Genomic DNA, 27,178 nt, shown 5'->3' on the forward strand with positions numbered 1-27,178 from the left:
CTCCATCAGGATAAGAGTCAGGAATTTGATGGAGACTGTAATTCAGTGAATGTGCAGTTTTTAGAGAGTGTGAAAAGCAATAATAATGTCAGTGTTTTATTACAGGTATCAGTTTGTTTCCTCCATCTCTTCCATTTTTTTGCATATTATGTGATGACCATGATGAAAGGTAATGTACTTTCTTTCACAGAAATGGAGGATACAGGACAGAATTGATAACAGTGGGACACTCCCCCTGCCAATTTCATAAGCTTTGTGCTCATAGATTTGCATGCTGTACTTTTTATTTCAGTGACGTTTAACAAAGTCATGGCCATGGAGGAAAGTAAACTTACAAAGAATGTCCATAATGAGGCTGTGAGTGCTGATGTTTCAGGTATGGTACAAAGTGGTGACTCTGAGTTGCAAATTAAAGAGACAGAAGCCCCCTATTCTATATTCTTTTTAGTGTAGAAAAATACCTGGATTTACCAATAGATAAATTGTACAATAACCTCATCTGTCTAGGACACATCAAAGCACCTAGATATAAGCAAAAGCAACAGCTAAAGCAGCTTAAACAGATGCCATCCGTCCTCTGCACTAAACTCCTTTTAGGCTCTTGCTCAACATCTAGTGACTCTGTCTTTACTATAATTCTATCATGCTTGATTATCTAATTTTCTATCTCATAAGCACAAGAAGCAATAAATTAGAAAGGAGAAGCAATTATGAAAATCAGACTCACCTAACTAATAAGACACTTGAAATGTGAAAGGAAGAGGCAGAAAACTTACTTTAAAATAGGCACCAAAATACTTTAAAATAGAGGGCCATCGAGAGGGACAGACTGTTGTATATTTACTTCAGTTTCTCCTCAAGACATCATTTTATTGCATCAAAGCTTAATAGCAATGGCCCTGAAACGTCCAGTATTCCATTCAGTATATCATCTATTATAGAAAAATTCCCATCAAAAATGCTTTAATTTTCAAAAATGTTGATACTGATAGGGATAGGGGATTTAGTTAACATCATCCTTCAATAATACCAGATAAATAAGAATTATCATAATATATTACATTGAATAAGTCCTAAAATATATGTTTTTATTAGTAGTGATCAGAACATTTTGATTTTATATTCCCATTTTATTTTTTTTCTTGCAAAATTCCTTCCAGTAACTTACAGGGAAACTGTCGATGATTGGATTTATCACACTTTCTTGGCAGAGATTAAAAAAAAAAATGTAGCTAATTCATTCTTGCCAGTTAATTTCCTCTGTGGGGTATTTTTTGCTCTGTTTTAGTTAATTCAGAGCAGAGTTTCTCTCCCTTTAAAAAAAATAGTAGGTTGAAAATAGCTTATTTAGATGTTACACACTTTTCTCTTTAGGAAAGTAGAAATCAAAGTTAGGAACAGGAGAGCTAGGAAGACATTCTCAACATGCTAACACCAAACTTCTCTTTCTTCCCTCCCTCTTTCCCCCACATCACCAACACACACCCTCTGGCCAATATATGATTTTACAGTGTGTTTGTGAAAGCCTGGCCCAGCATAATTTTCTGTGACTCAGACAATGAGGCTTTTACCACATCTCTAGGGAGGTTACAAAGTCTATTAGACCTCTCTATTTCCTTGTTGTGCAGGGTGATTTTTTTTTTTTGAAACGGAGTCTCACTCTGTTGCCCCGCTGGAGTGCAGTGGTGGGATCTCTGCTCACTGCAAGCTCCTCCTCCCGGGTTCACGCCGTTCTCCTGCCTCAGCCATCCAAGTAGCTGGGACTATAGGCACCCGCCATCACGCCCGGCTAATTTTTTGTATTTTTAGTAGAGACGGGGTTTCACCGTGTTAGCCAGGATGGTCTCGATCTCCTGACCTTCTGATCCGCCCGCCTCGGCCTCCCAAAATGCTGGAATTACAGGCGTGAGCACCTGCACCCAGCCGGGTGATTTTTTTTTAATTTAAGAAATGCATCCTATTTTTCTTGATTCTGTGACTTCTTCGACTACATTATTTCTTATCTTTCCTCATTAGAAATCACTAATTTACTTTGCTGTGTGATTCATCTGCACAGTTCCACAGTTACTTGTTGGTATTTAGGAGCATAAAGGAGTTGATCTCTTATTTAAATCCCAAATCAGATTCCATTTTCAGAAATCAAAAACGTACATATAAAATGGCGGTACATCCACCATACGTCTTAAGCTATCATTTCTTTGAAATATAAGAAAATGTGCAGCCCATTGACCATGAACTTCAAAAAGAAGAGAGGAGGTGCACTTTGTCCTGAGGGAATTTGTGGTATCATAGGTCTTTGAAGTTGGCTCTAGCATTCATCAGTGAAGAAGCAGACCCATAGTAGTCTCATTCTTACCCTTGTATAATACAACAAGATATTCTACCCATCTGGTCCTGGAGTAGGGCGGAGGCTAGTGTTTAGTATGGAAATATTAATAGGAGGAGACAAAACAATTAGAAAGTATGCACTGAACTACTTAGTACTTGTGAAGAAGTAGAAGCATAAAACCCAGAGAAGAGGTCTTATTCTCTATGTATGAGAGTTTTATTATCTACTGTGTGCCAGGTACGATGCTCTGAGTTATTTCACAAGTACCATTTTTCTTAAGAGTCAGGGCCATGTCCCTTTATTGTCTGTAAGATGGAAAGAGAAAATGTGTCCCTTCCTCACGCTGACTGAAAGTAAACAAAAAAAAGACAATATAAATTTGTGCTCTTAAAGTTGAAGGGGAAAATAAACGGTGTAGAAAAAATAATATATTTAAAAATAAGACCAAAGTATTAACGTTAGAGGGGGGACTAGTTTTCGTTTTGGTGACTCGTGATTCAGATTTCATAAAATCTGAGGAGCCATCGATTATGTAGTGTTCAGTAGTCAATTTCCTGTTTTTCTTTCATTATTTACTTCCTGACTTTTTTTTACCAGCTTCTGGGTTTTTGTTTATGTTTTGGTGGGCTCCTTTTCATCTCCTCTGGAATGGAGTGGCATTTTGGGGGCAGTCAACCCTGACAGCTTGGTGCATATACAGTAGGCAAGCCCACGAGTTCTTTAGGAGTGGTCTTGCCTGATACATATGTGTCACAGGTGTTCCTCCTGAGTTACACTGCCGTGGAAGGATGATCAGGGGAAAAATAGCCACTTAAATGAGATGTTGCCCACAAAAATACTATCAAAGTAGCAAACTGAAAGTAGAAGTGCTGAAATGTTGTGGCAAATATTGTATAAAGCAGGCCACTAGCTCCAATTTGCAAATGTTTGGTTATATAGATATTTTCACTCTAATAGCATCTTTTTCATGCTTTTATCAGCAAGTTAATTTAGGTGTGAGTAACAGACTTAAAGAGAACCTGCCTGGGCGCAGTGGCTCATGCCTGTAATCCCAGCACTTTGGGAGGCCGAGGCGGGTGAATCACGAGGTCAGGAATTCAAGACCAGCCTGACCAACATGGTGAAACCCCATCTCTACTAAAAATACAAAAATTAGCGGGGTGTTGAGGCGTGCACCTGTAATCCCAGCTACTTGAGAGGCTGAGACAGGAGAATCGCTTGAACCTGAGAGTCAGAGGCTGCAGTGAGCCAAGATGGTGCCACTGCACTCCAGCCTAGGCAACAGAGCGAAACTCCGTCTCAAAAAAAAAAAAGAAAAGAAAAAAAAAGAAAAAGAGAACCTAATATTTCTTTATGCCCTTAGTTTGAAATCTAACCAATATTGTTCTGCTTTATGCCTCACTCCCTAAGAACTTGTCAAGTTTCCTTCCAGAAAGACATTTTCTCTTCTTTGAGCTTCCAAGGACAGATTTCACATTACTGCAAGTTAAACTTCTGACTTTTAGGATCCCAAGCTGGGAATAGTGTCTCTTTCCATAGACTAGACGATAACATAGAAATATTCTTTTGTTGCCATTTAGTTTGGGAATAAAAATGGATTTCATTTTTATTTTTTTTTCAAAAAGTAGAAACTTCAAATATTCAGAAGTCTATTATTTTTTACCAAATTCATTATAGCAAAACAGTTTCACCTTTATGTTGGTGATCACACTGGCTTCTCTTTGAGCATCCTAGATGCAGTATTTGTTGTAAGTTCTCCCTTTCTTTGTGGCTTAGTCAAATAGAAAGTTCTAATAGAAATGCCAGTCCCCAGAGAGCTCTTGTCCGTTACACTATGCTGTTGATAAATGGAATTAATTTATCCTCTGTGGCTTTTTAATTAAACTAGAACCTCATTTTTTTATATGAAACAGTTCAACACAATGAAATCTTCACTAATCATCAGTTGGGAACCCAGAACCTGAGTCAGATTAGAAAGAAAAAGAATGGACATCTCTAACTATGCTTTCTCTCTCAATATTAACACTGTTAGTTCTAATAAGCATAATGGGAGCATTGATCACTCTACACAGGGGCTCTGTAAGTTGCCATAGGATATGAGTCACCCTTCAGAAGTTTTTTAATATGCGACACTCATTTCACTGATGCTTTAAGAAGCCACTTTCAACTGTATGCTCCTCAAATATTGCCAAGAACAAGAAATTGGAAAGAGGCTTGTCCTGCTATAGCTTTTATATATTCTACTACCTTCCAGAATTTTTAATATAAAATTACTGAGAAATTAACAAAGAATACACTGTAGTATTTTTTAATAGACTTTATTTTTTAGATCAGTTTTAGGCTCACAGCAAAATTAAGTAGAAAGTGTAGAAAGTTCGCCTAAACCCTCTGCCCGCACAGTGTAGTATTTTACTTTTTAAAATTCACTTTCAAAAGTAAAACAACCTTATTGAAACATAATGCACATACCATAAAATTCATCTTTTAAAGTTTTGTAATTCCGTGTGTTCCAGTATATTCACGCAGTTGTCCAATCATCACCACTAATTTCAGAATTAAAATTTACTTTTAAAAAATGAAATTAAAATATCATTGAGGAAGTTTAAAGAGAAGGAGAAAAAATACTGATTTCTAAAACTCACCATTCAAACCAAACTCTTGTTCTTTTTTGGTGCATTTTATTTCAGCTTTTCTTAACATCCAGATATTTTTATATGGACTAATGAGATAATTAATTATTTTTAAAATTTCTTATGAGCGTCTTTGGCTCTGTCTCTTTAAGGCTACTCAGAGTGTGCTGAGGTGTGCTGTGATTTTACTGCTGTGTGTACACATGAAAATATTAAAGTGAAGAAAATAACTTAATGGCTATGTATGCGGTGATGTGATGCTTTCTAAAATAAACCGTCTCTCTTTATACTTGAACTTTCCAGAGCACTGTTAAAGCTTTAGACTTTTGGTCATTAGTAGTTGATAGATATCTTTTGTTCCTGCATTCTAGGGCATGAAAACAGTAAAAGCTTAAATTAATTGATAAAACTGGCATGTCTTTAGATGATGCTCTTCCCTTAAACTGAGGGCAAACTTGGCACTGGGCATTGTGGAGTGATTTCCAGTAGCATTGATGGGAGGACTGAGCAGTGAGCATGTAAGAGGGAACAACAAGAGAAAGACAGTCAATGGGAAAATAGACGGTGGGTATGAAATGCATTTACGGAAGTTTCACAGATGGCCAAAAAAATACTTGAAAAGATGCTTGGGGGATGTAGATGAAAACAGTTTTTCAAGTCCATGGAAACAGTTTTGAAAATTGTTTTTCAAGTCCATAGAAACAATTTTGAAAATTGATAATGTTGAGTGCAATGAAGGATTTTGGCAAGTGGATACCCATGAACTATGAGAGTGTAATTCATTGACCCTATTAAGAAGCTTAATAGCATGTATTAAGATTCAACATCTCTAGTCTCTTAATTGAGGAATACCACTCTTAAGAACTTTGCAGAGGTAAGAGCATATATTAAAACACATGTACAAGTTGTTTATTGAAGCCATATTTGCAATAGTAAGAAGTTGGAGACAAGTTATTGTTCAGCATTAGGAAAACTCGCTAAATAAATCAAGATACAGATGGCCCTTAAAAAGTATGTGGTACCTGTCTGTGTACTGCTTAGCGCACATGTGCATGATATATTTTTATGTGATTGAGTGGAAATTACAATTTTCCTTTTATTTACAAAAAGTGCATTTGTAGCTAAAGCTGTTTATGTGTAGGGAAACTGGGGTGGAAAATATTTCACTTTTTATTTTATGTTTTAAAAAAATTGACTATGAGTGATTTTTACTTGTTTTCTTTTTCCTGTTTTTCAAGTGACATCCTTTTTTTTAGACGGAGTCTCGCTCTGTCACCCAGGCTGGAGTACAGTGGCGTGATCTTGGCTCACTGGCAACCACCACCTCCCGGGTTCAAGTGATTCTCTTGCCTCGGCCTCCCAGGTAGCTGGGACTACAGGAGCCTGCCATCACACCCGGCTAATTTTTCTATTTTTAATAGAGATGGAGTTTTGTCATGTTGGCCAGGCTGGTCTCGAACACCTCACCTCAGGTGATCTGCCCACCTTGGCCTCCCAAAGTGCTGGGATTACAGGTGTGAGCCACCGCGCCCAGCATCAGCAACATTCTTAAGCTTTCCAAAGATGAAAGATTACAGCAATTTGAGCTAGGCTAACAAAGTATTGTCAAGTAGAAGTCTTTGAGGAACAAACTTTAATGAATAGGTTTTAAAAAATTCTAATTAGTATATCAGCAGCTTATATAGAAAAAGATGTTTCTAAAGTATATGGAAATAGTTTTTACTCAGATTAAACCTTCTGAAATAACTTTTATTTTTTCTAATAAAAGTATTTTATGATCACTATAAAACATTTTGAAAAGAAATAGGAATATAAAGATTATAATAAAAATCACCTGATTCTATCACCTAGAGATAATAGTAGGCTAAATCTTAAGACTAACTTATGGTATCAATTTGAAATTTAAGAAGATTTTATTTTCACTACAAGAGTTTGCTTCACCCTAATCAGTTTGTCTAATTGCTGAATTAGTTGAGGGGATATGTATGATATTAATGAAATTTCCTGAATGATTCTTATAGAAAAATCAGCTTTGATAATGCATATTGCAATAAGAATTAGGACAGAAATGCTGCAAGGTAAAAAGAGGGAAAGAAGAAGGCAGTCAAGTATGTCAACCAGATTCTAAAACTTCACATTATTAAAGAAGACAGTAGACATGTCTGTAATCTAGCCAGCAAGTAAAGAAATTTCCCTTTGTTTCTTTCTCCTGCTCTTTTGCACTGGCAGCCAGCCATAATCAGCAAGGGTCTGGCCAGGTATGGAAGGGACCAGCACCGACCACCTGGAGCACTTGTGCTATTTTGTACCTGGAGAGTAATTCTCTTGAGTGACTCCTCACAATATACTCATACTTGTAAGAGGACCAGTTGGATTACAGAGTTAACCACCAGAACCAAAGCTTCTGACGCTGCAGGATGACTTCAGTGTTCCTCTTTTCATGATGGACCCTGGGTGCTCTGCCATCATCAGTCCATAGATTACAGGCAGGTCTGGGCAGTAGCTTCTTGAGGTTCCTTCCTTCCTTCATTCCACTGTCCAGAGTTGCATATTGAACTGTGCTTCCAGAGGTTACAGCATTGAGTAGTTTCTAACTCCTCAGCACTTTACTCTGGCATCCTCACCTCCAGGAAAGGCTACATAATTTGCAGGGTCCAGTGCAAAATGAAAATGTGGAGCCATTTGTTCAAAAACTAAGAACTTAATGAAAGCACAGTGTGGAAACAAGCACTTTGGGACCGCATTGATTCCATGCCCATGAAGCTGGCTCTGCCCACCTTAACCTTACCTCCTGACCAGAAGTAACCTATCACCAAGAACAGGCACATAGCTAGTACCTCCAATCCTCGTTTTCTTTGCTGAGTTCATCTAGTACCTGCCTCCATACAAGGCCACTGGCCTTCTAATCCCTGGGACAAAACTGCTGTTTGAGAATGAAAGAAATGTGTCCTCTGTAGACAGATGCAGCCCCCTGGGCCCATGACTTGAAGCCTTGTGCATATTCAAAAAAGACTGCCCTTCTTTCAGATGGACACAGCCCTGTGCTGGGGCATGTAGCTGGCACTTGGTGAATGGCAGGCAAGCTGGATTCTACCTGCCTCCAGCATTCTTGGCTAGGCATCCTCATGCAGGGAACAGTCTACATGATCCCACACAATCGCCTTGAGCAAGGAACAACCTGGTTGGTCCATTGCCATGGAGTGGCCAGATTGCTGAGCTAGTAGAGATCCATTAGACTCTCCTTCTGTTTTTCCATTCCAAGTTGGTGGGTGTCTTGGTCCATCTTGTGCTGCTATAACAGAATACCCACAGACTTTAACTCGAAAAGAAAAGAAATTTATTTCTTACAGTTCTGGAGGCTGGGAAGTTCGAGGTCAAGGGGCCTGCATCTGATGAGGGCCTTCCTGCCGCATCATCCCATGGTAGAAGGCAGGTGGGCAAGAAAGCACATGAGCAAGACAGAAGGGGTGGAACTCATCCTTTTGATCAGGAACTCTCTTGATAATGGCATTAGCCCACTCATGAGGGCTTAGCACTTATGACCTGATCACCTCTTAAAGATCCCACCTCTTAATGCCATCACAATGGCAATTTAAACATGAGTTTTGGAAGGAACATTCAAATCATACCAGTGGGGTTTTAGGTTTCACTCCTAGGATGATATACTTTTCAAGAAAGAAAAGAACTTAAAGAAATAAAAAGAGCAAAGTGGATCATTATAATCTTTCTAATCTTTTGCAGTTCCTGGCTAGCTTTACTTGAGAGTAAGCAGGGAAAGGTGAGGATTGAGGTAAGAGAAGAAAAGAAGTAAAGTCAGGTCTTGAGAGGCTTTTAAAACTGGATTCTGACATTAAAAATTAAAAAGACACCCAGGTACAGTGGCTCATGCCTGTAATCTCAGCACTTTGGTAGGCCGAGGCGGGAGGATCCTTTGCACTGAGTTCGGGACCAGCCTGGGCAACATAGCAAGACCTCATTTCTACAAAAAATAAAAACTTAACCGGGTGTGGTGGCATGTGCCTGTAGTCCCAGCTACTTGGGAGCCTGAGGTGGGAAGATTGCTTAAGCCTGGGAATTTGAAGCTGCAATGAGCTATGATCACACCACTGCACTCTAGCCTTGGCAACAGAGTAAGACCCTGTCTCAAAAATAAAGAAATAAATAATTAAAAAGACATCAGATTCCCTTGCTTTCCCATGCCCCCCCCGCCAAATAAGTAATGCGTACACCCAGAAAGAGTTATGAGAGCTAGGATGCTGTTCATATGGGTCCTTTAAAACCCTGTATATGTTCCTACTGTGAAATTATATTAGGGTAGCAGGAGAGTCATGCTGAGTTACTATTTGACCATCTGGCCTGGTATTCAGACTGCAGTAAAGCCAAAGAATGGGTTGAGGTGGTACAGAGACCACTGGGATATACCTTAAAAGAGCCACAGTTGTCCAAAATGGAATACCAAGCGTGCCCCGATAAACTGTTCTAAGCAATTTTACAATCCGGTTAAATGTTTTTTTTTTGTATGTGTGTGTGTAAGTACAAACATGCATATATGTGTGTGTGTGTTGGGGAGAAGGCTGAGAGTTGAGACCAGTACTCCATTTTAGAAAAAAGTACTTGTTTATTTTTTAAAAAGTATTTATTTGTTTATTTAGAGACAGGGTCTCACTATGTTGCCCAGGCTGTTCCTGAACTGCTGGGCTCAAGTGATCCTCTCGCTTCAGCCTCCCAAAGTGCTGAGATTACAGCCATGATCTACCATGCCTAGCTGAAAAAACTACTTTATTTTATTTACTTAAGTCCTCAGATTTGTTTGTCATTTTTAATGTTAAAAATTCAGAATCTATGATTTTGAAACAGATTTTGGTAATCCCGTAGCTCAGTATTCTACCCATGGACTTAGAGATATTCTGTGTGAACAGATTGATATAAAAAGATATATGTGTGTATGTGTGCTTGCTTCCCTTTTCTCTAGATCAATCTGGAATTTATAGAAATATGGGACTTTCACCATGAAAAGTATTTAAAGCCGACTAGAAAGATATTTTCTTTGATTTTTATTTGGAAGCATCCTTTTCCTCTTCCATATTGCTTTGTTCCTGATAAAATAACCAGTTCTCTAGGTTAGAATGAATTAATATGTGCCCGTTTTCCCTGTTAGGCTGTAAGCTTGACCATGAAGAGCAGAGACTGAAAATAACAGTAGCATAAATAACATAATTTATTTCTCTCTCTTATAACAGCTCAGGGACAATCTGGTGGCTTCACTCCATAAGGACATCTGGGACCCAGGTTCCTCACTCATGTGGTCCAAAATGGCTTGCCACTGCATGCGTGCCCTGAGAAGCAGGATGAAGCAAGGGAGGAAAAACAATATATGCCTTCCTTTAAGCACACATCCTGGAAATTGCCTGTATCCCAGTCATTGGAACTTAGCCATAAACGTAATGGCAGACAGCCAGGTGCCCAGCTATAAATCATGGGTGTTTAACATTATTGACAGCCGTCCATCTCTGTTACACTTATCTTTGACAATATGTTCTGCTCATCACATCACTTTTTATAGGAGATAAACAAAACCTGGTCTGTTTTGGACCTATTTGCTTCCTTAAAGTTCCAGTTAGATGATGTTGCATTTAACGTGAGTCCATTTTGGTTTGGTTTTGTCTGTCGGGGCCTAGTGCACAAGCTCAGTCCAAAACAGTGGCCTCCCATACTTTTGTTTAAAAATTCTCCCCTTTTGGTCACGTTGTCCCTTAGGTGAGAGTGTAACCAAAACTGAAGGCTTTACTGCCACTCTCATGTATCATCATTTTGGGTTTACGGTCTCAGCACATCATTCATAAGTTACAGTGTCCTCATGGTCGCACATTTCTTTGTTTTTCTTTTTCCAGTTGAAGAGACACCATTTAACATTCTGGAGATGGCTACATGCAAACATTTAAAACTTGTAAGAGAATACAGTGCACCAGGGGGACTACTATTATGACTGTCTGGAGGATAATACCACGAGTTTGGAGTATGCTTCTTAGCCAGGGTCCCCTTGAACTAAACCAACTAAAATAAAATAGATCAAAGAATGAGCTAGATAAGGAGTCTGCTCATTAAGAAACAAAAACAAAAACCAGCCTGTTCAATTCCTTACAACTGAATCTCTGTAACACCCAACATATTCCTCCATGTGCAACTATAAGTATCAGCAACTGTACAGACACCTCTGTTTAGCCAGTAAGTAATCTAGAGTAATTCTATTATTTAGCACAACTTTAGCAAAAGAATTTAAAACTATAGCCTTTACAGTAGAACCTGTTATGGAGCCTATGATGAGAGGTAAATTTCTAATCATTGCTTCATTTACTCCAAACCATGGAGAAAGAGACCTAACATGTGCTGCCTATCCAGGAGAGTGAAGGCCTCCTGGCAATGTTCTCTTTAACCTGTGATGTGGGTTAAGGGGAGTGGACCAGTATTCTTACTGATTATGAAGCAATAAAGGTACCATTAAAGTTTCTTGGCCACAGTGGCCCTTTATCTCCCATCTATCAAGGCATAAGGTTGTCCATGTATACAACTGGCTGCAAAATCCTCCACAAATAAAAGTATAATCCATGAGTACACACACGAGACCCCTTTTTCAGGTCTATTCATAGAGGCTAAGCAAGGAAAAAATTGAGAGATAAGAGTTCTCATGATAGCAGAGAAGTCTTTTGTTGATACATTTTTAAAACTTGTTTTCTCATATATATATATATATATATATATATATATATATGCTTATTTTATTTTATTTTTTCATTTATTTTATTTTATTTTATTTTATTTATTTATTTTTTTGAGATAGGGTCTTCTTGCTCTGTCACCCAGACTGGAGTGACACTGTCTTGGCTCACTGCTGCCTTGACCTCCTGGGCTCAAGTGATCCTCCTGCCTCAGTCTCCCAAGTCACTGGGACTGCAGACACACCATGCCTGGTTAATTAATTTTTTTTTTTTTTAGAGATGAGGGTCTCACTATGTTGCCCAGGCTGGTCTCTTGGCCTCAAGCAATATTCCTGCCTCGGCCTCCCAAAGTGCTGGAATTACAGACGTGATCTATCATGCTGACTGCAGAGAAGTCTTGATTCATGATCTTTGGAAAAAGCTGTTCATGTCTGGGATGCCATCTGCTTCTGGGGAGAAGCTTCCCTGGTTAACTTTACCTTAAGGTCTCCAATGGACATACAGTTCCTAGAGTCTGGATGGGCCCTTCTGAGCTGTGAGATTACAAACCCAAGGTTCAAGGTCCTGAGTTTTGCTGCAGTGTGAGTAGCAAGGGCAGTCTTTCTCTGATGACATTCTCAGAAGACCCAATCTCCAGGTTCTAGATTGTGAAGGGATTCGATTGTTCTCAGTCAGTGGACCATAAAAAGCTTTCTTTACCTGGTGAAAATACACTTTGACATATGCATTAAAGCATTCCAGCATTTTGTTATGTCAGAGTTTAGTAGCAGAAGGTACAGGAGAATCTATTATTAGGTACACAGGCCTTCTACACATATCAGAATTTTAGGAATCTCATATAGTTTTGCAACATATATTAACAACGTATTCACTAAAATACACCTTAAAGAAGGTTAAACATCATTTATTATTTGGCAATGCTTTCCATATGATTTAACATATCAATCCCGTTAACTCTCTTATGGAGGCTTCAGGGGCTCTCTGTAGTATTCTAAAATTCAAGGTCAAAAGAGACTTAATTTTGAAGTGGAAATTTGATTTTGGGAAGCCTGTCAAACAAATATAAAAGGTTTAAAACACTTGATCAAAATAGGGTCACAGGTCATCATAAAATAGTAGTCATTTATTTAGGTAAAGTGATAACGAAAAGATTTTAAAAAGCAAAAACATTACTCTCTGATAGAGGAGACGCAGTTTTCCAAACAATCTAAAGACCTGAGAAAGACAGCGTGAGGCAGAATCTGTCTCTCTCTCTCTTTTTTTATTTTTTGCAGTTTACTCAAAAGGTAAACAAAAATATCTTGCTATCACTATTAACACTATAAGAAATTTTTGTTCAAAAGAGAAAACCAAATTTTACTTTTGCATTAGTGTATTATCAATAAAGCTAATTTTAATAAAACCTTATAAACAAACTCATTCAATGTCAGTCAGCTTTTGACCACACCAGATTCCCATAACCCTTTTATAATCTCGTACAATTAAAAATTTTTTCAACTTTTTATATTTTAATTTTATCTACATTCCTTTTATTCCTTCAATTTGAAACAACCTTTAAGTAACTTAAGTAACCTTTAACTAACTTCAAACTGGACAAACTTCAAACTAGGCAACTCTAGTAACTTCGCCTAGACAAATTTTTTTTTAACAAACATACATTTTATGCCTTTATAACTTCCATCATCAAAAGCATATCTTGCTTTTATATACTATACAGAATTGTTTTTCTTACATCTAGTTGTTTTAATTACATATATTAACTACATGAACTCTTTAACCCTAGTTTTTAGTGAAATCCCTAGGAAGTAATTTTGAACTGTTTTATATCAGTATTTGCAGATAAAAATTATTAAATTATTCTATAAATTTTAGAAAGATGTTTCTTCCTATATTTTATTAACAGACGTAAATATATTTAGCTTCTCTATACCATACAAAAATAAGATGCCAAACTATATAAACTTAAACTTAGGTTTGGTAATTAATGTTTTAATATTTTTTAACTTACAAATGACTCCCATTTTATGATTATGCTTTAACATAACATCACTTTAAGATTTAAAATTACTGAAAAACATTTTGAAAGTAGGACACAGGTACCCTCCCTAATGTCTTTTCCAGTCCTCCTGACTCACAGGTAGTCACGCAGCATCCAAGGTGGCTATGAAGGGCAGGGCTTATCTGAGTCCTGAATTTACATGCCAGGAGAAGAGCTCAGGACAGAAGACAGAGCTGTGAGGTCGATGCCCTGGAGGATCCAACCCCTCTCAGAATATCTGGGGCCAAAGCTCAGGCAGGAAGAAGGGGTCATAATGGGCTTGACTCTGACTTGTAGCTGCTGGTTGAGGCACTGAGAACGTGTTTCCAGACTTCACCATGGCTACCTATGCAGAACTCTTAATTCAGAGGCTAAAAACTAGAAACACAAGATCACAGTCAAATCAAGCAAGTATAAAATTATGTTTAACAGATAATTTTGAAACCATTCCTATTTTTAAAAATACCTTAACCTTTATTTTAGGTTCAGGGATATATGTGCAGGTTTGTTATATAGGTAAACTCGTGACTTGGGGGTTTGTGTACAGATCCATTCCTGTTTTAGCAACAATTTAAAAACTAGCTATATTTACCACATATAATCACATATGCATAACATGTATAGACATAACAGACACATAGACAGAAGCAGATCTTACAGATTTGTAAGATTCCTCATTTGCCACTTTTCAAAGTTTCTTCCCACTGTCAATCTCTTGATTACCTCTTTTATGCTTAAAACAATTGTTAGGGAGGCAACTCTAAGTTTGCAGCTTTAAAGAGAGGACACAGGCAAAACAAGGTAAAAGTTTACATCTCAAAGCACAGAACTTAGATTTAAACAAAGGCAAGGTTTGTTAGGTAAACATTAATCCATTGTCTTCCCCATAACTAAAGTTCCTAGTAGTTTAGGTTTAGAGACAGAGATACCCTTACAAATGAAGATTTCCTTTATAGATGTAAATTTCTTTTACAAAACGATTTGAAGATTGCCAGTTAGATGAGTTAAAGGTGTATTTGAGTTCTATAGGTGGTCTCTTTAACTTAGCTGTAATTACTGAGTTTAGGGTGGTGCCCATTAAGGAACAGAGCAAAGGAAGAGTTCTCCATGCCTGGTCTCTGCATGTATAGATCTGAAAAAGAAGCAAGCTCACTTTACCCTAAGGGCTACCTTTTATGAACACTTTATCTAGAATAAAGCATTTTATTTGCCTTTCTTGAAGAGTCTTTAAAAAATATTAAAAATATTGAAATCTTTTTAGACACTTCTGCATATCAGTAGGCATCCCTAGATGAGACTAATTTGGGAGCCCTCGTTTTCAAATGCATTTCTTCAAGTTCAATGTTGTGCATTTGTAACATTCCATTGTAATTTTAAATGACCTTTAGTAAGATTTTGCCATTTCTAAAGCAATTACTGCTTCCAGGGCCTACTATAATACTTATGTCAGAGGCATTTGGACCAGAGCAACTCCATCTTGAATAGGGGCTGAGTAAAATGAGGCTGAGACTGACAAAGGATTTTTCCCAGTCACTTTGCAAGCTGGGAACCTCTGGCCAGCAATGCCCCTGCCCAGGCCTAGCTTGGCCATACTGCCTCCTGCAGGAGGAGGCCTGCCCACTCCGCCTGCCCAGGCCATGCCTGGCTTGTGCACCAGCTCAGCCCATGGCTGTTCCAGGTGTGCCCCAGCCTGCCTTTGTTATAGCCTGTACCCAGCTTTGGCAGTTCCTGAGTTCTTGTCCCACATCCAAGAAGAATGAGTATACGCTGACAATTGAAGAGTTAGGAAGGTAGAGAAGAATTTTATTGAGCAAGGAAACAGCTCTCAGCGGAGAGGGGATGTGCAGGGGTCAGCCACCCATGGTCGGGTGGTTTCTCCCCCAGTGCAGCTGAGTCCGGGGCTTTTATGGGCTCACAATTGGGGAGCGCGTGCTGATTGGTTTGTGAGTATGCAAGAAAGGTTAAAACAAAGGCACAACTAAATGTGGGCATGACAGTATAAAACACCAATTAGGGAAGGATAGGTATGTGTAAAACAGGGGAAGGATGGGGATTAATTAGAGGAAAGCATGACAAATGGGAAGACAGGCTCTCAATCTGGTCCATGGATTTGACTTGTAGCTTGGCTTTCAGGCTTTAAACTGTCTTTGGCCTGGAGGTGGGGTTTCACTGGGGACCTGCCCCAATCTGCCTAGGTATTTGAGTGCCTCCTGCCACTATCAAGACCTGCTGGGCTGTATCCCCAGGAGGCTATTCATTTTTAGTCACAGGATGAGCTAGGAGGTTGGCACAATATACAGGTCACAAAGACCCTGCTGATGAAATGGGATGCAGTAAAGAAGCCAGCCAAAACCTGCCAGAACCAAGATGGCGATGAGAGTCACTTCTGGTCATCCTCACTGCTCATTATATGCTAATTATAATACATTAGTATGCCAAAAGACATTCCCATCAGCACCATTATAGTTTACAAATGCAATAGCAACATCTGGAAGTTACCTTATATAGTCTAAAACAGGGAGGAACCTGCAGCTCCAGGGATTTCCCACCCCTTTCCTGGAAAACACATGAATAATGTACCCATTGGTTAGCATATAATCAAGAAATAACCGTAAAAATAGCCAACCAGCAGCCCTTGGGGCTGTTCTGTCTATGAAGTAGCCATTCATTTACTCCTTTACTTTCTTAATAAACTTACTTTCACTTTACTCTGTGGACGTGCCCTGAGTTCTTTCTTGTGCAAGAGGCAAGCACCTTCTCTTGGGGTCTGTATCAGGACCCCTTTCCAGTAACACTTCCACATGTAAATGTAGGCATAGCTGGACAGTGGAGTAGTTAATTCTTTTGAAATTATGGATCTCATTTTTACCTTGAATCTTGGCTTGGGCTCTCAGATCCCCTTGATCAACTTAGCCAATGATTTTTCCCTACCAAAGTACACACAAAAAAAGAAACAAAGGGGGGAGAACACAAAAATACCTGCAGATTTCCAAAGCCTAAGTTTGCCACCCCTGCAATATTGCCATTTACTACCAGTTTCTGTCTGACCCAGTTAGATATCTAAGGCCTATAAATGGATCCAAGCCAGTTAATTATTGGATCCAATCTGATCCTGGACTTAGTCCAGTTTCTGTCATGACTTCCAAACCCAGTTTGCATCAGAAGTTTGCTCAAACAAACTCAGAGAACTCACAACACAAATCTGTGGAGTTTTGGAATCCAAGAGAGAGCTTACCGTGCCCCAGTTGCTGCACAAAAGCAGTGGACACCATGGGCCTAGCAGGTAGCCTGTCTTGGCCATTCAGTGCTCCTGGAGGTCTCTGTAAGCTCCACTTTGGATCTCACTTCAGATGCCATCTGTTAAAAGACAAACCTTAGACAAATTAAAGAGTTTAATTGAGGCCGGGCACAATAGGTCACACCTATAATCCCAGCACTTTGGGAGGCCGAGGCAGGTGGATCACCTGAGGTTGGGAGTTCAAGACCAGCCTCACCAACATGGAGAAATCCCATCTTTACTAAAAATACAAAATTAGCCAGTCGTAGTGGCGTATGCCTGTAATCCCAGCCACTCAGGAGGCTGAGGCAGGAGAATCGCTTGAACCCGGGAGGCAGAGGTTTCAGTGAGCCAAGATCACGCCATTGCACTCCAGCCTGGGCAACAAGAGTGAAACTCCACCTCAAAAATAAAATAAAATAAAATAAAAGAGTTTAATTGAGCAAAGAATGAGTCTTGAATCTGGGATCACCTCCACTTCCACAGCCCCTACACCCCCAATCCCCAGGCCAGAGTACATTCAGAGAGACTCCAGTACAGCCACATGTTGGAAGATTTATGGACAGAAAAAGGAAAGTGACATTAGTAAATGGAAATGAGGTGCGGAAACAGCTGGATTGGTTACAGTTTGGTGTTTGCCTTATTTCTGGATTGGTTACAGTTTGGCATTTGCCTTATTTGAACACGATTTGAATAGTTGGTCACCTTTGATTGGCCAATACTTGGTGATTAGCAGAAGAGTAGGTTATGCTCTGTTTACACATATAGTTAGGTTACAGTTTACTATGGAGAAACCTTTTGGCTGAATTTAAAATATGTAAGGAGGCAGCTTTAGGCTAAACCTAATTTAACAACTGAATGACCAACTGAAATACGTTTTTAGGAGAACATCCAGTAAACCTGAAGATAATAAGAAAGCCTGAATGGTCTCATTCAGGGTAGAAAGGGTGAGAAACAGATTGGTAAGACTCAGGTAATTTTCTCCTTGCTGTGAATTTCTTGTCTTAGTCCATTCAGCTGTTTTAACAAAATACCATCCTGGGTGGCTTATAAACAACAGAAATTGATTTCTCACAGTTCTAAAGGCTGGAAAATCCAAGATCAAGGCACTGTCAGATTTGGTGTCTGGTGAGGGCCTGCTTCCTTGTAGATGGCCATCTTCTCACTGTCACTCCACATAATGAAAGGGGTGAGAGGGCTCTCTCAGATTTTTTTTGTAATTAAAAAAAAATAACAAACCTGCACATGTATTTTTTTATTTAAAAAATATAGGCCGGGTGCGATGGCTTACGCCTATAATTCCAGCACTTTGGGAGGCCAAGGTGGGCAGATCATGAGGTCAGGAGATCAAGACCATCCTGGCCAACATGGTGAAAACTCATCTCTACTAAAATACAAAAATTAGCTGGGTGTGGCGGCACTTGCCTGTAATCCCAGCTACTTGGGAAGCCGCGGCAGGAGAATCACGTGAACCCGGGAGGCGGAGGTTGCAGTCAGCTGAGATTGCACCGTTGCACTCCAGCCCGGGCAACAGTGTGAGACTGTCTCAAGGAGAAAAAAAAAAGAGACATATCGCACCACTGCCCTCCAGCCTGGCGACAGAGCTAGACACTCTCTCTCTCTCTCTCTCTCTCTCTCTCTATATATATATATATCAAACAGTTATTTTTTTTTAAGAGACAGTGTACTGGCCAGGCACAGTGGCTCACGCCTATAATCCCAGCACTTTGGGAGGCCAAGGTAGGCAAATCATGAGGTCAGGAGTTCGAGACAAGTCTGGCCAACATAGTGAAACTCCGTCTCTACTGAAAACATAAAAAATTGGTTGGGTGTGGTGGTGTGCGCCTATAATCCCGGCTGAGGCAGGAGAATCATGTGAACCCGGGAGGTGGAGGTTGGAGTGAGCCGAGATCGCACCATTGCACTCCAGCCTGGGCAACAGTGCAAGACTCCATCTCAAAGAGAAAAAACAAACAAACAAAAAAAGAGACAGCATACTGCTCTTTCACCCAAGCTGGAGTGCAGTGGCGCAGTCATAGCTTACTCTAACTTCAAACTCCTGGGCTCAAGCATTCTTCCCACCTCAGCCTCCCAAGTAGCTAGGACCACAAGCACATACCACCACACTCAGCTAATTTTTTTAATTTTTAAATGTTTTTGTAGAGATGGGGGTCTCACTATGTTGCCCAGGCTGATCTTGAACTCCTGAGCTCAAGTGATCCTCTCACCTCAGCCTTCCAAAGCATTGGGATTACAAACGTGAATCACTGTGCCTGGCTCATATGTCTTTATAAGGACACTAATCCCATCCATGAGAGCACTGCCCTAATGACCTAATCATTTCCTGGAGGCCACACCTCCTAATACCGTCACCTTGGCAGTTAGAATTTCAGCATATTAATGCTGGGGCAACATAAATATTTAATCCATTGCACTTGTGCATATGATTGAATTGGCAGTTTATCATAATGCATATTTACTGCCTTGTTTTACTTTATCTTTCTTTGTATCTTGTCTCTTCAACTGGACTATGAGCTCTTGAGAAACGAGTCTAAGTCTGTCACCTGTTTATGCCCCTGACAGTCTCTAGCACAATGTTACACATAGAGACAGCATAATAGATATTTGTTGATTGCCTGATGTTTGCTCACTGAGTAGTATTACTATCCTCAATTTATCTTTTGGATGCTGAGGTTGAAGGTGACTAAGAGAATTGTACCATTCTTCCGGTGGTTCTAAATGCATTATTGATTAGTAACAGAATTGACTAGCATAAATGGCAGTTGAGGATTTTCTTCCTCTCTTTTATCTTGTGTCATTTTAGCAGAAAGTGAAGGACGATTTCCAAGCCTCCTAAGCTGCATGATAAATAACTGCTGGATAAATTAATATGCTCTTATAGATGAGAACAAAACAAGGGACCAGGTCTGGCTGTCCTGATTTTGCTTTCCTTGTTCAGCCCACTGACGGGAGTAGCCCTTGCTCTTGGTTCAGGTCCCAGCTCCTCCCTTGCTTGTCTGTAGCTGTGGGTGAGTCATGGCAACCTTGCTGGCCCTCCCTTTTCCAATTGTAAAAGAGAAATGCGTTGCCACCAGATGATGTCTTAAAGCGCCTCCAACTTCTGGAATGGAAGACCCTCTGGAAACACAGAGCTGTGTGGTTGCAGGAAATGGGCTCTTTGCATGATAACTAACTCATCTTCCTCTCTCCCCCAACCAGATTTCCTGCTGAGGTAAGTAATGTGGAGTGGGTTTTTTGTTCTTTTTCTTCAGCCTTCTGTTCCTTTTGTGTATGTCTGGCCTTGTAAATATGGTGAATAAATGCTATAATTATAACCCTTTTTGACAGCTCTGTAATTTAATTGTAATTCATTCTGAGCATCTATTTAAGACAATGATGTGTATTGAAGATACAGCTGTTCCAATCTCATCTGCTAAACTGACAGGCATCGGTTGGAATCATAGTCCCAGTAACTGTAGGAACTTCCGATCTATTCAAGACCAAATAGAGGGATACACTCTCTGTGGGGTGTGTGTGTGTGTGACTGTGTTCCATATCCTGGTTTGGCAAAAGTGGTAATGTAGTATTTGGAGAGAAGCGGCATTTAAAATCGGCCTTTGCAAAAATATGAAAATTATTCTGAAGTAGAAAATGTCAGGCCGGGCGCGGTGGCTCACGCCTGTAATCCCAGCACTTTGGGAGGCCGAGGCGGGTGGATCATGAGGTCAGGAGATCGAGACCATCCTGGCTAACAAGGTGAAACCCCGTCTCTACTAAAAATACAAAAAATTAGCCGGGCGCGGTGGCGGGCACCTGTAGTCCCAGCTACTCGGGAGGCTGAGGCAGGAGAATGGCGTGAACCCGGGAAGCGGAGCTTGCAGTGAGCCGAGATTGCGCCACTGCAGTCCGCAGTCCGGCCTGGGCGACAGAGCGAGACTCCGTCTCAAAAAAAAAAAAAAAAGAAAAAAAAAAAAAAGAAAATGTCTCAGGTTTACTTTTTGCAGAAAGCTAAGCTGAATATTTTTGATTAACATTCAGAGGGGTCCCTCTGTAAACCTGGAATTGATTCCTGGTAGCACTGGCTGGGGGTCATTGCTCATCAGATGTCCGAGTTTCCTAGGGATGCCCTAACAAAGTACCAAAAACTAGATGGCTTCAACAACAGACATACTGATTATGTAAACCAAGAAGTATCTGAGGCAAGTCTCAATCAATTTAGAAGTTTATTTTGCCAAGGTTAAGGACATACTCATGACACAGCCTCAGAAGGTCCTGACAACATTTGCCCAAGGTGGTTGGGCTTCAGCTTGGTTTTATACATTTTAGAGAGACATAAGATATCAATCAATACATGTAAAAGTACATTGGTTCAGTCCAGAAAGGGGGAGGTGGGGTGGGAGGGGGAGGGATTCCAGGTCCTAGGTGGATTCAAAGATTTTCTGGTTGGCATTTGGTTGAAAGAGTTTATTAAAGACCTGGAATCAATAGAAGGGAGTGTCTGGGTTAAGATAAGGGGCTGTGGAGACCAAAGTTCTTCTTATGCAGATGGAGCCTCCAGATAGCAGGCTTCAGAGAGAATAGATTGTAAATGTTTCTTATCAGACTTAAAGAGTCCGTTCTGTCAGTATTAAAGTCTCTGTTTTAATGTTAATGCTGGTAAGCTGTGCCTGAATTGCAAAGGGAGGAAGGTATAAATAATGAGGCATATTTGACCACCACTTTCCCTCGAGGCCTGAATTAGTTTTTCAGATTAACTTTGGAATGCCCTCGGCCAAGAGGAAGGGTTCATTCAGTTGGTTGTGGGAGCTTAGGATTTTATTTTTTGTTTTACAATTGTGTCACAGCTATGGAGGCTAGAAATCCAAAACCAAAGTGTTGGCAGGGTTGGCTCCTTCTGAGGGCTGTGAGGGAGAATCTTCTTCTTGCCTCTGTCCTGGCTTCTGGTAGCCTTAGGTGTTCCTCGGCTTGTACATGATGTTGTCCCTGTGTCTTTACGTTGTCTTTCTCTAGGTGTGTCTTTGTCTCCCAATTTCCCCTTTTTACAAGGACATCAGCCTTATTGGATTAGGGCCACCCTACTGACCCCATTTTAACTTGATTACTTCTAAAAAGACACTGTCTTCAAATAATGTTACATTCTGAGATAGTAGGGGTGAGGACTTCAAGATACCTTTTGGTGGGGGACACAATTTAATCCCTGTCAAATGTCTGCTTGAATATGAAGGAATTTTCTTCTTTTCTTTTTTTTCAAGTAGAGACAGGGTCTCACTATGTTATCCAGGCTGCTCTCAAACTCCTGGGCTCAAGCAGTCCTCCTGCTTTGGCCTCCTCAAGTGCTGGGATTACAGGAGTAACCACCTCACCTGGTCTGCTTTCTTTCCCTCCCTTCCCCTCCCTTTCCATCCCCTCCCTTTCCTTCCCCTGCCTTTCCTTCCCCTCCCTTTCCTTCCCCTCCCTTATCTTCCCCTCCCCTCCCCTCCCTCATTTCCTTCCCTTCTCCCCGCTTCCCTTGCCTTCTCTTCACTTCTCCCCTCCTTCCCCTCCCCTCCCTTCCCCTTCCCTTCCCTCTTTTCTTTCTTTTCTTTCAACAGGCTCTCTCTCTGTCACCCTGGCTGGAGTGCAGTGGCATGATCATAGCTCATTGTAACCTCAAACACCTGGCCTCAAGCAATTCTCTCGCTTCAGCCCCACAAAGTGTTAGGATTACAGTCATAAGCCACCATGCCCAGCCTAGAAATTTTCTTCCTATGACTGCAAATAATTTCAGTCCCAAAGGCTTTTAGATGATTGCAGGAAGAATCTCACAAGAATTATTTATTTCATAATGATATTGTTCTTCTCATTTATTTTGGGCTATAACATAGAGCAATACATTTACCATCTTTCTTGCTATTTGGCCAGGTAGTTGCAGAGTAGCCTGTTGTGCCTTTTGACCTTCAATGCCCTGAATATAGCTTACAGAATGTGAGATGTTATGAAAGAATCTATAATGGGGGACCTCAGAACTTTCTAACTGGTAGATGAATTGAAGATGGACTCATCTAATTGAAGATGAATAACTTGCCTCTTCCCCAACCCCCAGTTCTCTTCTTACCTTACTTTTACTCCCTGTTGCAAGAGGGAGTTTGAATATAATTCAAGAAGATGCTCCTAGTAACAGGAAATTCCTTCATTTGAGGATTCTGGTGGGCTAGACCACAGTAGGTTATGAAGCAAATTTGAGAACAGTAAGATTAAGGAAATGGAATGGAGATAACTCAATGTGATAGAAATAACAGTGAAATGAATATTAGGTTTTGTTCGTTTGTTTGTTTGTTTGTTTTTGAGACAGAGTCTTGCTCTTTCGCCCAGGCTGGAGTGCAGTGGTGTGATCTCAGCTCACTGCAACCTCTGCCTCCTGGATTGAAGCGATTCTTGTGCCTCAGCCTCCCGAGTAGCTGGAGATTACAGGTGCATGCCACCACACCCAACTAACTTTTGTACTTTTAGTAGAGATGGGGTTTTGCTACGTTGGCCAGGCTGGTCTTGAACTCCTGGCCTGGAGAGAACAGTCAAATTGTTATTTCAGCCTCCCAAAGTGCTGTGATTACAGGGGTGAGGTACCATGCCCTGCTGAAATCAATATTAGGAAAACATCCTGGTCAAGGTTATGCAACTCATGTGATCTTGGAGAAGTATATTCACCTTTTGTTTAGTAAGTGTTCATTGTGAGCATTGGGTCACTAGGTGATTTCTCAGATACCTTCTAGCTTAAAGTCCCATGATTTCAGGGACAGTTAGACAGTAATGATTTAGGTCAATGCTTAAATGTGTGTGTTTAGTAAGAAGTTGTAAAAGGTGTTGGGTAAGATATTTAATATAATCTATGAAAACATAAATGACCATTTGGTGCATTCAGGCTTACAGTATAATACTGCAGGCAGATAATATGAAGAAACTAATTGGGAGTATTTGGTTGAAAGAAATACAAGAAAGGAAATAAGATTATATTTGATTGAAAGAGGAAAAAAGGAATAAAATCACTCAGAAACTTACCTTTGGTAACGTAGGCAGGGCAGTGGTCTGGAGGGCCAGTTACACTAGCTCCTTCACTGCAGCTTTGATCAGCAACCATACCTGTATTCTTATTACTGATCAAGTGTTTTTCTGCAGCCAAATTCTTACTTTCACCATAAGCTGAAATACTCCTAAACACAGAAGAAAAAAAGATTAGACTGAAGTCCTTTGTTTTCTGGGAGATTAGCACAGGGATCTAATTAGGGGAACTTGTGATTTCCAGTCTCTGCTCTTGTAACCAACTGTTGCCTCTCCCTAAATAAGCTTGTGGAACTTCACTCTGCTCACTAGGATATGAGACAGTGGGATTTTCATTGGTGTATGCCCAAGGATAAGTTGGAGTTCTTTGAAGGAGTCAGATAGCCTGCTGGGGCCTGCTGGAAGAACGGTACAAGCCTCCCTGCAGCTGTTGGTGTGCTGTGTGACTAATACAAGATGTTGATTTCAAGGACCATCTGGAATGGAGGCAAACCAATAAATTCATTTTAGCGGACTGGTAAAATTCTTTGCAAGCCCGGCTTTTGATTTTTTTTTTTTGGAATTCCATTCTTTGAAGTTAGAATTCTTTGGGGAAGGGGTTGGGTTGACCATAAGGCATGATCTTTCATTTATTCACTACTGACTAGTACAAATAATAATATGGTACACTGTGACATGCAGTGTATTATAGCCTTGAACAAAGGACTGTGGGCATAGTGGATAGCAAAATTGATTAGTCCTAATAGGGGAGCACAGTCCCTGGTAGTTCTGCTTGTGACAAGTGAGGGCAGGCTTCCAAAAGGATATATCATTTAGCTGGATCTTGAAAGATAGATAGAAAGTAAAAACTCACCAGATGGAGAAGTGAAAAGAAGGTCCAGGTAGAGAGAGAATCATGTACAAAGAAAGCATTTGGTGTATTCAGAATCCAGCGTCCTTGGGGTTTGGGATTTGTAGTGAGGAGTGGTAAGCCAAACCCCTGGAAAGAGGGTAGGTTAGGGCTAGATTATGAAAGATGTTGAATATTGTGCCAAGCTAGGGAGTTGAACTTGATCCTGTAGTTAAGAGGGAGACACTGTAAATTTTGAAGCATGATCAGATCCGCATTTTAGAATGATCAACCCGACAGCCACATGAAGAATGGATTGGAAAGTACAAAATTGCAGTCAGGAAAATGAATTTGGAAGCTATTGAAATACTTCACGGAAGAAAAGCCACAACAGTATGTTTGGTGTACATATTTGTTATTAAGGGGAAAAAAGAATATAAGTTAAGATTTTCTTGTAAATGCATACAAATATATTGAGAGGTTCACATAAAACAGCAGTATTTTGAGGAAGGGGAAATTGGCTTGAGGAATGGGGTAGGAAGAAGAATTTATTACTAATACTCCAAAAGCAAATGCAGCAAAAACCAAAATAAATAAATGGGACATAATTAAACTGAAGATTTTCTGCACAGCAAAAGAAATAATCATCAGAGTAAACAGACAACCCACAGAATGGGAGAAAATATTTGTAAACTATACATCTAAGAAAGGACTCATATTCAGAATCTGCAAGGAACTCAAACAAATCAGCAAAAAAAATTAAAAAATAAAATAAAAAAACTCCAAAACCCAAATAATCCCATGAAAAAGTGGGCAAATGACATGAACAGACATTTCTCAAAAGAGGATGTACAAATGGCCAAGAAACATGTGAAAAAAGGCCCACTATTACTAATTATTAGGAAAATGCAAATTAAAACCACAGTTCACCACCTACTACCTTACCCGAGCCAGAATGGCTATTATTAAAAAGTCAAAAAACAGTAGATGTTGGCATAGATGTGGTGAATACAGAACACTTTTACACTGCTGGTGGGAATGTAAATTAGTACACCCTCCATAGAAAACAGTATGGAGATTGTTTAAAGAACTAAAAGTAGATATACCATTCAACCCAGCAATCCCACTACTGGCTATCTACCCAAAGAAAAAGAAGTCATTATATCAAAATGATGCCTGCACGCATATGTTTTTTGCAGCACAATTCACAGTTGCAAAGATATGGAGCCAATCTGAGTTCCCATCAACCAATGAATGGATAAAGAAACTGTGGTATATATACATATCACAGAATACTACTCAGCCATAAAAAGAAATGAAATAATGTCTTTTGCAATGACTTGGATGAAGCTGGAGGCTGTTATTTTAATTGAAATAACACAGGAATGGAAAGTCAAATAATGTATGTTCTCACAAGTGGGAACTAAGCTATGGGTATGCAAAGACATACAGAGTGGTATAATGCACTTTGGAGACTCTGAAGTGGGGAGAGTGGGAGGGAAGTGAAGATTAAAAACTACGTATTGGGTACGGTGTATGCTACTTGGGTAAGAGGTGCACTGAAATCTCAGAATTCACCACTATATAATACATCCATGTAACCAAAAACCACTTGTACCCCAACAACAATTGAAATAAATATATGTAGACATATAAGGTAAATAAAAATAAATTTAAAAGAATTCACTTTATGCCTTTTTTAACTTTGAATTTTTTCACCTCTGGGAATATCTTACCTGTTTAAAAATTAAATTAAAGGGCCAGGCGTGGTGAGTCATCCCTGTAATCCCAGCACTTTGGGAGGCCGAAGCTGGTGAATCACTTGAGTTCAGGAGTTCGAGAACCTAGCCAACATGGTGAAACCCCATCTCTACTGAAAAACAAAAACAAAAACAAAAACAAAAAAGCACCGCAAAAATTAGCTGGGCATGTGGGTGGTGTGCGCCTGTAATCCGGCTACTTGGGAGGCTGAGGCAGGAGAATCACTTGAACTTGGGAGGCTGAGGTTGCAGTGGGCCGAAATCACGCCATTGCACTCCAGCCTGGGTGACAGAACAAGACTCCGTCTCAAACAAACAAACAAAAAAATTAATTAATTAAATTAAAGAAATAAAAGTTAAGAAACCAGTAAACTTAAAAAAAAAAAAAAGCAGCAGATCTTCACCTTATAATGGCCATGGTAAAATCTCCTGAGTAGAAGTTCTTGAAGATGTTGACAGTAGGCAAGAGATAATGAGCACCTGAACTAAGGCAGTGTGGCTTTAATCTCTTTTTAAACCACAGGTTCATCTCTTTTTCGTTTTTCTTGATTCTTTTCTCTTTTT

At 39.9% G+C, this 27,178-nt stretch overlaps 1 protein-coding gene across 8 annotated transcripts in view; it reads left to right on the plus strand.

The window, feature by feature from the left end:
- CRACD (capping protein inhibiting regulator of actin dynamics) overlaps positions 1–27,178 on the plus strand; it is a 281,512-nt gene that overhangs the window by 146,954 nt on the left and 107,380 nt on the right. For 2 of the 8 annotated variants that reach the window (XM_047415994.1, XM_047415995.1), the window contains exon 3: positions 293–376. The exons of 4 other annotated variants lie outside the window; for them this stretch is intronic. In XM_047415994.1, the coding sequence (XP_047271950.1) occupies positions 310–376 (67 nt within the window). In that variant the 5' untranslated portion in view covers positions 293–309. Of the gene's footprint in view, positions 1–292; positions 377–20,090; positions 20,223–27,178 lie in introns of those variants that run through there. 2 more of the 8 variants (NM_001393382.1, NM_001393385.1) reach the window with 1 other exon arrangement.

The sequence above is a fragment of the Homo sapiens genome, chromosome 4 (genome assembly GCF_000001405.40).
Source record: "Homo sapiens chromosome 4, GRCh38.p14 Primary Assembly".
Classification (NCBI taxonomy): domain Eukaryota; kingdom Metazoa; phylum Chordata; class Mammalia; order Primates; family Hominidae; genus Homo; species Homo sapiens.